Source organism: Homo sapiens, chromosome 12 (assembly GCF_000001405.40).
Source record: "Homo sapiens chromosome 12, GRCh38.p14 Primary Assembly".
Lineage (NCBI taxonomy): Eukaryota > Metazoa > Chordata > Mammalia > Primates > Hominidae > Homo > Homo sapiens.
This window is the reverse complement of record NC_000012.12, coordinates 26,189,858-26,202,866: the sequence shown is the minus strand read 5'-3', so window position 1 is coordinate 26,202,866 and position 13,009 is coordinate 26,189,858. Positions and strand designations below refer to the sequence as shown.

General features: G+C 39.8%; 1 protein-coding gene across 4 annotated transcripts in view; it reads right to left on the bottom strand.

The window, feature by feature from the left end:
• The window catches only part of SSPN (sarcospan), a 112,787-nt gene that overhangs the window by 31,911 nt on the left and 67,867 nt on the right, over window positions 1-13,009 (bottom strand). The window contains 1 exon segment of one of the 4 annotated variants that reach the window (NM_001135823.1): window positions 7,336-7,531. The exons of 2 other annotated variants lie outside the window; for them this stretch is intronic. Coding sequence is in view for 1 of the 2 variants with exons in the window: in NM_005086.5 (NP_005077.2) it covers window positions 6,916-7,194 (279 nt within the window). In the remaining variant the exon portion in view is untranslated. 4 annotated transcript variants of the gene reach the window in all.

Below are 13,009 nucleotides of genomic sequence, written 5' to 3'. Positions count from 1 at the left end.
AGCGTGAGAACAGACTAATACACTATCCTACAGTAACATAGAAACATATATGCTGAACTCTTCAACATAACCTTATGTGTTTCCTTTTAATGTTATCATTAACCCTTCAGGCCACAATACAACCAAGTGGATCCAGTGAAAGACCATCCTTAATAGAAATGTCTCAGATACAGCTAAAGGCAAGAGCAAATCTAGAAAACACCCATTTTCTCAGACCACACTGAAAGAGGGCATCATATTGGCAATCTATCTATTCAACTGTTAGACCAAACATTAGAGAAACCTATGCCATTGTTTTCTTCGTAAAAGGTTAAGAGTGGTAATATCAACATCTAGCATTCAGCCACATCAATCCTAATATGTCCTATTCTAGTTAGGAGAGTGCATATAAGTCAAATGACCTTCCTGAGTCCTGCCATTTTATAACATGAAATAAAAAATCTAAGTAATGTTAAGTTAATATGTTCTGAATTCTTCTAGAATCCAGAAGCCAAAATGGAGTAATAACACATTCCTTACTATTACCTCATAGTTGTCTTAAATGTCATAAATAAATTTGTCTGTGTTTGAATATACAACTACAGTCAGCCCTCTGTATCAATGGGTTCCATATCCATGAATATAATCAACCACGGATCAAAAACATTTGGATAAAAAAAGGATGGTTGTGTCTGTACTGAACATGTACAGACCTTTTCATGTCATTATTCCCTCAATAATATAGTGTGTCAACTGTTTACATAGTATTTATATTGTATTAGGTATTATAAGTAATCTAGAAATGATTTAAAGCATATGTAGGATGTGCATAAATTATATGCAAATACTACACCATTTTATAGCAGGGACTTGAGTATCTGTGAATTTTGGTATCAGGAGTCCCAGTACCAATCCCCTGCAGATACTAAGGGATGACTGAATATAGCTTAAAAATGGGCATATGCATGTTCAAACAGAAGCTCTGATAATGGCAAGTATGGAATAAATAGATTTCAGTTCAACATTTATTAATTATCCATTATGTGTCAGGGGATATATAGTGGCCCTGAGAATATTACTTAAAGTAAGAGAATAAATTATTTTATTTTTCATTTGATTATCCCAAAATTCTATGTACCAGTATTTCTATCAAAAAATTAAATCCAAAATGATGACTGACATCTCAAAAGCTTCCAGAGACTAACTTTCTGAGTTGAATATATCCACAATACAGGATTAAAAAAAATATTAGAACCTGCTGCTTCTCCTCATTTTTTTTTTTAAAAAAGAAGATTTAGGGACAATTTCCTCATTATATAAACACTCTCTTGGCCTTTGCACATCAGGCTTAGTAGAAGGCTGTAAGTAGAGGCGAAAACACATTTCTCCTGCTGATTCTGAACATCTAATGATTTTGTTCAATCTTAACCTATCTTATTCTTTATTCTATTACTGAAATTATTTCAGGAAACATTTCGCCAAATTCGCCAAATTCTTTTTTTTTTTTTCTGTTATGGGGTCTCACTCTGTTGCCCAGGCTGGAGTGCAGTGGTGCAATCTCAGCTCACTGCAACCTCTGCCTCCCAGGCTGAAGTGATCCTCCCACCTCAGCCTCCCGAGTAGCTGGGACTACAGGTGGGTGCCACCACACCCAGCTAAATTTTTGTATTTTTGGTAGAGATGGGATATTGCCATGTTGACCAGGCTGGTCTCAAAATCCTGAGCTCATGCAATTTGCCTGCCTTGGCCTCCCAAAGTGCCAGGATTACAGGTGTAAGACACCATGCCCGGCCTCACCAAATTCTTGAATATTCCATTTTATTTCCAAATATATATATATAATATATATATATATATATATATATATATATATATACACAAATTAACTTCTTTTGCCAGAATAATTCAATTGCATTCCATTTTTATACTTACTATGAGAACTTCCTATGCCTATACAATAATTTTCCTGTCATTATTGTTCTATGTATTCAGTGGAGATTGAGTTGGGCCATGTAATTATCTCTCCTCAGTTCCTAACAATCCTGTGGCAGTTGCCATAATAAAAATTATTTCCCAGGGATACCAGGGATGCGACATTATATTTTGGAAGCATATTAAAGTCCCAATATGATGAATAATGTATTACTATGCAGTATACTCCTAAAAGTATAATTCCAGATTAAAATTTTCAAATGTCAATACAACTCTATAGAAAGTTAACACCACATTTAGCTTCTTGACTTGAGGGTTTATCCTATACCCTAATGCCAAACCTTTCTCTCTTCCAGTTACTTTTCATAACCATGATCAAACCATTTAGCTAAATTATTATCTTACTTTCCCTACTTATAAATTCTGAATAACAACTATATTTGTTCCTTATTTGCTATATGTGATATGTCTGCTTGTGAGTTTCATGGTATATTCTGCTTTAAAATAAATAACCACCCAATTTTCCCTTCCATTAAGGCAAGACTTAAAATCGGTTTTTAAAACCTGAATAAACCTGCAACTTGAATTTCTTAGGATAAGTTAACATACGAAAACTGTTACTGAAATTTTTGACATGACTTTTAATCATTACAGATTCATGTGATGAGTTTTACAAATGACATTAAATAAAGGAAATATTCTTCCCTTTCTTTTAAGCCCTTGCCTTAAACTTTCCAATGTGATTAATGCAGTATTTATCTCAGGGTTTTTACTCCACTGAGTGGGGTATGGGAGCAATGGAGGGAGAGTGGGGGAAGCTAAAAAGCATAATAAGGCAAAGAAATTCTCACTTTCCATGGGAATATTCCCTACAAGGGCCAGGAGAATATCGAATACTAAACATATTCACTGGGGATGAGAAGCAAGAGTTTGCACTTAAATTGACTTCAGAGTAGAGATGCCAAAGCAAATAAATCACTGCAAGTGGAATACTTTGAAAGGTAAATGGATCTTAAAAATATTTGTGTACGTTAAATTTTCTAATCGGAAGTATTCATTACTGTCAGATATAATAAGGGCACATGTCCATCAGGATCTGGAGATCTCCTCCAGGTAGTTGATTCATTATTTTTAGGCCAATGCGTAGCACAGCAGACACCCTCCACAGATGTTACTGAATGAGGAAGGGAAAACCAAACGTTAAGCATGCAATGCTTTACCTAAACTAAACCTGTATTCATTTGAGTGAGAAGTAAAATCCCCAAAGTCCTTAGATTACTTCAATCCTTACACATTTTTCATCAATAAGAATTCCAGAAAAATGAGCAAGCTTGAATTCCCATCTGACTTAGCTACTAAAGCCATTAACAGAATAAAATGCAGAACACACTTCTCTGTCCTAGGATCCTCTGTACCCAGCCAAGTGCATCCTCAAAAGTTGCTATTTCACTTTGTTTTGTCATTGCGGTATGACTTACAACCCTCAAACCATCTATAAAGAATTATAATACATGAACAGCACTTTTACAGGTTACGTAGTCTCCACAGTGACTCCATTCTGGGTTTTTTTCCCCCCTTACAGGAATCTTTTGTAATCAAAGTAAAAAGACTTCAATCATCTTTTGATTGGGGATTGGAGTCACATTTATGGATAGATAAAAAATGACCTATTTGTTTTCCTAAAATCCCACTGGACATAAATTTCTGATCATAGATCACCAAGGGCCTCTTTAGTCTGTAACCACACCTTGAATATTCATCAAGTCACCCAGGCATTGGTCAAAGAGAAGTCACCTAAGTGGATTTACCCATATATCCAGGTTCTGTTAAGGAAATGGCAATCCCCAAATTCCAAGTTAATGGGATAGTGGCCCCTGTAAAATGAAGTGATGACCACATGAGAAGAGGCAACCAGAATAAAGGGAAACAGAAGAATGAAGCATGGAAAGTTGTAGACAGCGTGGGTGCCTCACTCAGCTTGGCTTCAGCCTATATCCCGGAGCCAGTGTGACTCAGCCTCAGCCCCAGGGATGGGCCTGGATTGCTTCGGTTTGGTGGGGCTCCTGAACAGGGAAAACTGATATAACCCGGCAGGATATACCAGCCCTGAATCACTGCATATCCCAAAGGAAAAATGACCTTGGGGAGGCCACTCTCCTCCAAGTTCATTTTTATAAACCTCCAGAAAGATTCAGAAAGTACTGGACCAATCAAATACCACTGTGATTGCTAAAGAGTAACTTGGCTGAGAACAGAGAAAGGTGAGACGGCAAAACTGATATTTTCTTCAGGGTTCAAACTAGTCTTGGAAATGTAGCGAGTCAAAAATGATAGTTTTGCAAGTCTAGAGATGAAATAAAGCCACCTTTCCTCTGAAGAGTGACACTGCCTGTGACTGCTTCCCAAGCAGCTAATAAGTAAAGCTAACTCATTGAATCATGCCATTCGTTGGCACTATTTTAAGTGCTTTACATGTATTAATTTATTTCATCCTCAGGGCAACCCGAAAAGGTAGGAATTATTATCATTCTGATTTTGTTAGTAAAGAAATGGAAACCTAGAGAAGTTAAGTAACTTGTCCAAAGTTATTCGGCACACAAGTTAGCATACAAGTTATTTGGCACACAAGTTAGGTGTGGCGGTGCACGCCTGTAATTCCAGCTACTTAGGAGGCTGAGGCACGAGAACGTCTTGAACCTGGGAGGGGGAGGTTGCAGTGAACCAAAATCGTGCCACTGCATTCTAGCCTGGGCGACAGAGCAAGTCTCTGTCTCCAAAAACCCCCCCCCAAAACTCAAAGTTATTCAGCACACAGTGGCTGAGCTGGTGCTCAACACCAGGTGTGGTGTGTACACATCTGCACTTTGCCATCTGCCTCGTTATCTTTTCCCTTCCCTGAAAGCTTGGAAGAGTGCCCTGTGACCAACCACAGACAGAGTAGTGAGGACAAGCAGAGCATGGTGTCTGTGTGAGACAGTGACACATGCCCAAATTCTGGCCCTGCTAGGATGAGAGTTGTTCCTGGCCTGGCTCCTCAGAGACCCTCCTCACTAGTCTCAGGACATCTCTACTAGCTGCTCTCCTCTACATAGATTCTCAGTTGAAAGAAAATCTAAGATGACAGATTTCATCAGGGCTATGTACTGAGAGCAAACTTCAAATGAATCCTAGATGATAAAAAAGAAAACCAGAAAGAGCAGAGACCTGGCTGTATATAATGCCCTTTGTGCAACACCCAGGGAGCTTCCAGGGCAATTAGGAACATCATCTCCCACAGGAGCTTTAGTTCATAAAATTTCTGAGTTGCATGGTTTTTATGTTCATGCCTTAAACCCTAAAATAAGTTTTTTCTCCATCTAATTTGCCTCTTTGGTGCTGAGCTTTTGAAGCTGCAATAAAGGAAGGATGGGGAACACATTTGCAAATGATATTTAAAAACACTGAATGAAAGAGCTTCATTCTTTGTTTGTTTTAATTCCCCTGGCATTAAAGGACAGACATATTTTCCCCCTGGGTATGTGGATCGTCATTGAGGTGCCTGAAATACCCAGTATATCTTACTGAAAAGCTATTTTTAAAATCACTTGATTTAGAAAACTCCAATCATGGTAATTTCATGGGAATTCTTAGTACAAAAATTAAAGTTTTAAATTACTATGCAAAAATTGTGTATTCAAATAATCTTAATTAGGAAATACCTCCATCGATGCATATATATCAGGTCTCTCTAATGTCTGTCCCTGATACAAAATTATTTTGAGGGACGTTTTGTGAGTTACAGTTCCTGTGGTCAGTAATAGCAGTAAGGATGCAATATGAGACAAGGAGTCAAAAATGTCATTTCTAGTCTCTCTTGATTCGACCACATTCAATCTCTGGGCTTGAGAATGTCATCTAACTTCTCTTAGCCTATTTCCTCACATCCAAAAGGAATAACAGTTCCCACTTCAAAGTGTTGTTTCGTGGCTCAAATGAAATAATGCATGTGAAAGAGTTTAATATGCTACAAGACACTGTAATATAACATAATATTAAAGTTACAAACCAAATGTGGTGGCAGTGTGGTTCAATGAGGAAAACGCAGATATAGTCTAGCATAAAGAGGAATCAGCATGGCTGAATGCTTTACCCACTCATGACCCTGGGTGAGTCTGGCCTGGGTTCCCTCATTTGAGAAGTGAGAATGATTAAAACGATCCCATCAGGACGATGTGGGGATTAGAAATAATATGTGTCAGGCCTCTAGCAGGGCGAGCACACAGTAGGTATTCAGTAAGTGGCACCCGTTTTACATTAAAGAATTCATTTAATCAAGCCAAGTATGCTACATGTTTCAACACTCACAACAGCTGAGTACTGTTCAACTTAGAACAGTACATCCATCGGTGGAGTCCCAAATATACTTCTGCCATGGCCAGCGCCCTGGGTTTATCCCACTTTAGACTCCAGTGGATTAAGGCTGTGCTTGCTGTATTCGCATTTCCTGCCTTAGCCCATCATTTCAGGAAACTTACTAATGGAGCCTCAGTTTAAAACATAAAATGAATGCTACTCAATGTGGCAACTCCAAGTACAGGCTTTCTCCTCTCCTGCTTTCACTAGATGAACTTAATTCACTTTTTGCCACTTGTTTAAGGACAGGGGTGGGGTCTGGGTAACAGGATAAGGAAAAAGCCCGAATGAATCCGCTGTTGTTATTGAGGCTGTTCAGTCTGACCAAAATAAGCAGCTTTTGAAATGAACTCCCCAGCTCCAGAGCGTCAGAGTCAGGCCCCGTGGAGGCGCTGGGAGCCGCGAGCAGGAGAGGGGCAGGAGCCCTATCGCGTCCAGCCCTGCCCCGCCCGGGAAAACCCAGTGCCCCACGCATCAGTCACCGAGCAGAGCGCGAGTTAGAAGAGTGAACCCGGGGAAGGGCACATGCAGCTGGGTTAGTCTCAACTCGACCATGCGACTTCGCATTCCTGTTTGGCAAACGCGCTTAGGCAAAACAGACTTGATGCTTACAATGATCCCAGCCCAAAATGGAGTGTCCCTGACTAGCAGGGAGGAGCTGATGCTCGCCATGAGGAAGCCCACCACGGTCACGGCGATGCCCAGGGCCAGCTGCAGCAGGGCGAGCAGCAGCGGGAACCGGCAGCCGCAGCAGGTCCGGGGCTCCTCCTCCCCGCACTCCTTGGGGGCCCCCGTGCCCTTCTTCGGCTCCATGTCGTCGGGCCCAGCGGCGTCCGCGGCCGGCGGGCCCCCCTGCCTCTGCTGGCCGCGTGGCTGCTTGTTCTTGCCCATGGCGCTGCGAGGCTGGGTGGGTGGGTGGGTGCGTGTGCGGCGCCCTGGGCCCTGGAGCGCGGCGCACGGCTGGCTCGGCCTGCCCTGGTATTCGAATTATGGAGGCTGAACAAATATGGAAAACATTTGGAGCCGACTCACCGAGCCTCCAAAGGCCACGGGGAGCCCGCAGCAGAGGGGGGATTCGAGGGGGGTCGCCAACTGCCAACGCGCCGGGACGCAGCGCCTGCCGGGCCCCGGGCAGGATTTGCAGGTCGCCCGCGGAAACCGGCGCGGGTCCCTTGGCCGCCTGAACCTCTGCACTTCAGACAGGCTGCGAGTGCGCGCGTGTGCGAGTGCGGGGCGTCTGTTTTCCTCACTCAAAACTCCAGGATTGTTTTGGTTTTGCTTTCTGTGAAGTGCAATGCAAGGTGATGAATGTTGAAATCGTTTGAGCTTAATTAATACACAGTTTAATCCAAAATAGGCACTGCTGGGCTCTAAGCTGCGAAGTCATTTCCAGAAGTTAAGTCGTTGTTACTTTCCTACAGAGGCACAGGCTCTTTTCTTCCTACTTTCTGTAATCCAGCTGACAAATGAATAAAGGCATTTTTCGCATTTAGGTGTTTTTGAATCTTTCTAAAGATATTGGACTAATTGTGAACTCTCTTTCACATATGTTATTAATTATTATTATTATTTTCCAAACAGGGGCTCACTGTGTTGCCCAGGCTGGAGTGCATTGTCACCATCCTAGCTCACTGCAGCCTCAGACTCCTGGACTCAACAGCTTCTCTCTCCTCAGTCTCCAAGTGGCTGGGACTACAGGCAATCACCACCACATCTGGCTAATTTTTTAAAATTTTTTTCATAGAGATGGGATCTCATTATGTTGTCCAAACTGGTCTTGAACTCCTGGCTTCAAGGGATCCTGCTGCTTCAGCTTCCCAAAGTGCTGGAATTACAGGCGTGAGCCACCATGCACCCGGCCTCTCACGTGTATTTGTTTTTAAAAGCTCTGTTGGCTCACGCCTGTAATCCCAACACTTTGGGAGGCCGAGGTGGGCGGATCACAAGGTCAGGAGTTCAAGACTAGCCTGGCCAACATGGTGAAACCCCGTCTCCACTAAAACTACAAAAATTAGACAGGCGTGGTGGCACGCACCTGTAGTCTCAGCTACTCGGGAGGCTGAGGCAGGAGAATCGCTTGAACCTGGGAGGCAGAGGTTGTAGTGAGCCGTGATCATGGCACTGCACTCCAGCCTGGGCGACAGAGCAAGACTCCTAGTTAGTCTTCACTCATCTCCACAACAGTGCTTAGGGGGATTGGATTGACCATCTTAGAGATAGACGCTTTTACTCAGTCAATATTTAAGAGTTATTTTTAAAGCACCTACAATGTGCTAGGATATAAAGATGTTCAAAATAGACTTGGTCCTGGCCCAGAGTCACAGAAGAAATCAATAAAACTGATTATTCTTATTCCCGCATACCTCTACTCAGTAGCACTTAGAGCAAATTTCAGCGAAACCACTAAAAAATGATCCCATCACTTTGGGGGTATTTATATCTCCTTTGGTATGGTCATTGTAACATTCAGAAAGCTATATTCAAAAATAAGTGATGTTGCCAAGATGTTAGGATAAAGGCTACTCCTAGCTTGTTTGCTATTGGAAAATTTAAAGAAAATCCAATTCCCTGCTGTTTGCTTTAGAATTAGAAACTAATCATCATCAGCTCTTTTTGTAAACTGCCAAGTCCCCACAAAAGTAACTTTGAAGACAAAAAGTATGTACTTCACCCTTACTTATTTTATGAACTTAGGTGTTCTCCTTATGCCTTCCATCTGGACCAGTGAGAAAAATAATGGTTCAGGGAACAAATACATTTGCTTAGAAAACAGAATCTAAACCACACATCCCAGTTCCATGCAGAGGCAGTAGAAATAGCACTCACTCTTACCAGAAAAACAGAGTGGCTGAGGCAAGTTTATGGTCAGCTTTGGGGCCATCACACCACAAGGGCTTTCTATTGTGAACAGACAAATAAAAACTGGCGTTATACCAGGACACCCACCTGACTTGGGCCTGACTGAGAAGAACCCAAATGACAAAACAACAAAATGCTTGGTTTTCCTATGGAAATATGGTAAATATTTATAGAAAGTCAATTGACTACCTGGAATCAAGTATGTATTGTTATTAACAATATAGCTACCTATTACTGAGTATTCTGTAACAAACACATGACAGGTGCTTTACATATTTTATTGTCACCCCTTATAACCACCTTATAATTATAGTTTCCACTTTTAAAGATGAAAAAATTTGAGTATCAGAATTATTAAGTAATTGGATTAAAGTCACTAGCCTACTTATGAATGGGGGTAAGTGGAACCAGATGTGAACTCCAAAGCCAATGGTCTAAAGGATTAACTGCTTTATTAATTACTTCCTGTATGTATATTGCCTATAGGCAAACAAGTGGCTAGACTGTTTAAATTGTGATTTTAAACAATTTAATTATCATGGGTAGCATAGTATCTATAATACAGTGAATTACAAACTTAGACCTAGAGATGAGTACTTTACAAAAATATCTTGATTCATCACCATAGTATATATTTAATAGTCAGTGGAGACCATTATTCCTATTAGTACTAGTTTATAACTAGATACAAGTTCTATTTGCTGACCATACTGCCAAATTGTCATGCAATTAAAAGTGAAACATTTTTAGCCTTTTCCTCAAAACCTTAAATTATATGTAAGTTTAAATAGTCAAACAAGATAGTAGGATATTGCTATACATTTGTCTTCTGAGTTTCAGACTAGTGGCTTACAGTTGTAAAACAGTTGTACATATATACTTTTTAAAAAAGCTTACTTTTGATTGCCTCACTGAGACACATTACAAATGAAAGCAATGTAAATGAACAACATCCCAGACGCACTGAAATTCTTCTAGTCTGATTACAACTGCAGACTACAATTTTCAGCCTTTGGTGGTCTAGGGAAACTCACACCTGCTCAGCTTCCCAACAGCATGGTTGAATCTGTGTTTGAGGAGGCCTGGTCTTTGGTAATAACATAAGATGATAGTGACGAGGATGTCATTTTCACTTAATTGATATTTGAAAGTAGAAACAAAGAAAAGTTACTGTCAAATAGTGATAGAGAGTAATCAAGGCTAAAATAGATAAGACTGTCATTAAGGATACAACAAAGAAAACTCTTCCTTTTACATGTCCTTTCCACTGAGAAAAAATCATCACGTCTAGCTCATCATAGAGTTTAACAGAAATGAACTGGGTTTTTCAGTATTCATAAATTATGATGTCACTATTTTATAGGTTAAGCAATAACCTCTTCAGATATTTATATTACCGGGAAAAAAGGCGCAGTAGAAACAAAATGTTTTTGGATACTCTTGGCTGCTTCCATAATTCAAAACTGACAAAGATTGTAAATTAGAAATTGCAGGACAGTAGTTAATATATGGTTTAGATTATTTTGATCCTCTTGGGGGAGAAAACAAAATCAAGCCAGTATCTCTATCTTTGCAGACTATCTCAAACTTAACATTATTTTGAAGTATTTATGCATCAGAAGTTCAGAACGGGGAAGATGATAACTCTTTAAAACTAGTGTGATTAACAAAATGTCTTAGGAAACCCAACTAGAAATAATCTTTAAACCAACATATTCTCAAACACATGATCTTACATTCCCCAAGAACAAAAAAGGATTTCAGAAAAAAATTATTACATTTCCAAGGTCTATATCAAGTCTTTTTCATATGTAACTAAATCTATCTGAAATGTTCAATTAGATTTGATTTAAAGAAGTATCAAATACTCTGCAGAAAACAATTGGGAATTCATTTGTGATATGCAGGACCACTGCCCCCATATGCCTTGCTGGCCGCCATACCTAAAATGACTCTAGGGATATTGCTGACCTCTGTGTGTGTATTTGTGTGTGTGTGTGTGTGTGTGTGTGTGTGTGTGTGTGTGTAGAACAAATTAAAGCAACTCCTATTTTTTTTATTTTCTTTATTCCTATGTCATTAATTCTAAATGTGCCTTTGGGCTTAATTTTTTTCTCAGCAGAATTGACCCATTTATAATTTTTGCTTGCAAGTTTGTATTTTCAAGTTAAATATCATATGGACAATGCAATCTTTATGGTCAACAAAGGGCTTATGACTTTCTCATTCTCTCTCTCTCTCTTTCTTCCCTGGAGATGGGGTCTCACTATGTTGCACAGGCTGGACTCAAACCTGTGCTCAAACAAACCTCCCAGCTCAGCTTCCTGAGCAGCTAGGACTATAGGCACATGCCACCATACCTGGCTTAACTTTTTCATTCTCTGGAGGGCTATAGAGGTGATAAATTTCAATCATTTAATCATGCATTTCACCTATTTTTAAGGTGCTTTTTATAATACCAAATTTTTCTACATGTAATTTTGATTTTTCCACTGCATATGATACTGTAGAAATAACTAAATTTATTTTAATTGAGAAATACAGGAGAAGAATGGATAAACAAATTGTGGCATATCCATACAGTGGAATACCACTTGCTAATAAGAAAAGGGGTGAACTATTGATGCAGGCAATGACTTGGATAAATCTCATTAACAGTGTGCTGAGTGAAAGAAACCAGACACAAAATAATACATACTGCATAATTCCATTTGTATAAAAGTTTTAGAAGGCAAAATGAATCTATGGTAATTTAAAAAGTGATTGAGGAGTTGGGATGAGAGAATTGTCTCGAAAGGAGTAAGAGGTGACTTTCTGGGTGATGGAAGTAAGTCTTCTGTATCTTTGGTGATCATATGGGTCTTAGTTGTCAAAAGTCATTGAACAACACTTATGATCTGTGCATGTTATTGTATACAATGACATCTCAATTTTTAAAAGTGTAATAAAAAGAGAAATACAGGGAGTCACTGGATGTCCCTCAGTAATTAATAATAGAACAAGTAGGTTTTTTATAAATTCATCTCACCAAACTCTCCTAATGCCTCTACTGCCATTCTAGATCCTCTGTTTTAATTATCTATTGCTACAATAACAAATCACCCCAACATTCAGTGATTTGAAACAGTAATTATTATTTCATGGTTTCTGTGGGTCAAATATTCAAACAGCACACAGCAGGGATGGTTTGTTTCTTCCTGTTATCTCTCGACTCTCAGCTGAAAGACTTAAAGACTGGAGGCCTGGGATCAGGAGGTTCCAGTCTTAGCTGAAGCAGGAAGATCTGCTTCCCAGGCGGCTAATGCATCTTGAAAGCGTGTTGTTTCCTTTCCAGATGGCCTATCCACAGGGCTGCTTGAGTATCCTCACAACATGGTGGCTGGCTTTAGACTAACTGATTCTGAGATTGAGAAAGCAAGGCAAATGCAATTCTTTACATGTACAGCCCCTGAAGTCACTTAGCAACACTTGAGTTATTCAGCTGTTTAAAATCAAGTCACAAAGTCCAGCCCACATGCAAGGGGAGAGTAAGATCCATCTATTGAAAGGAAGCATACCAAAATATCAAAGGGTATTAAAGGTGTATTTTTAAATCATCATATCCTCCTTCTCAAGTTTGTTCATGGATTGTTCTTCCTTTGCTGATCTCTTAAACGTTGGTAAACCTCATGATTCCTTTCTTCAGCCTTTTTCTTCTTGTACTACATGTTCCATGGCTTCACTGAAGACTCCCAAATCTATCTATCTTAGGAGGCCAGACTTCTCTTCTTAGCTCTAGGTCTGCAAATGCAAATACCTATCCACATCTCCATATAAAAGTTCCAAAAGTGCCTCAAATTCACTCTGT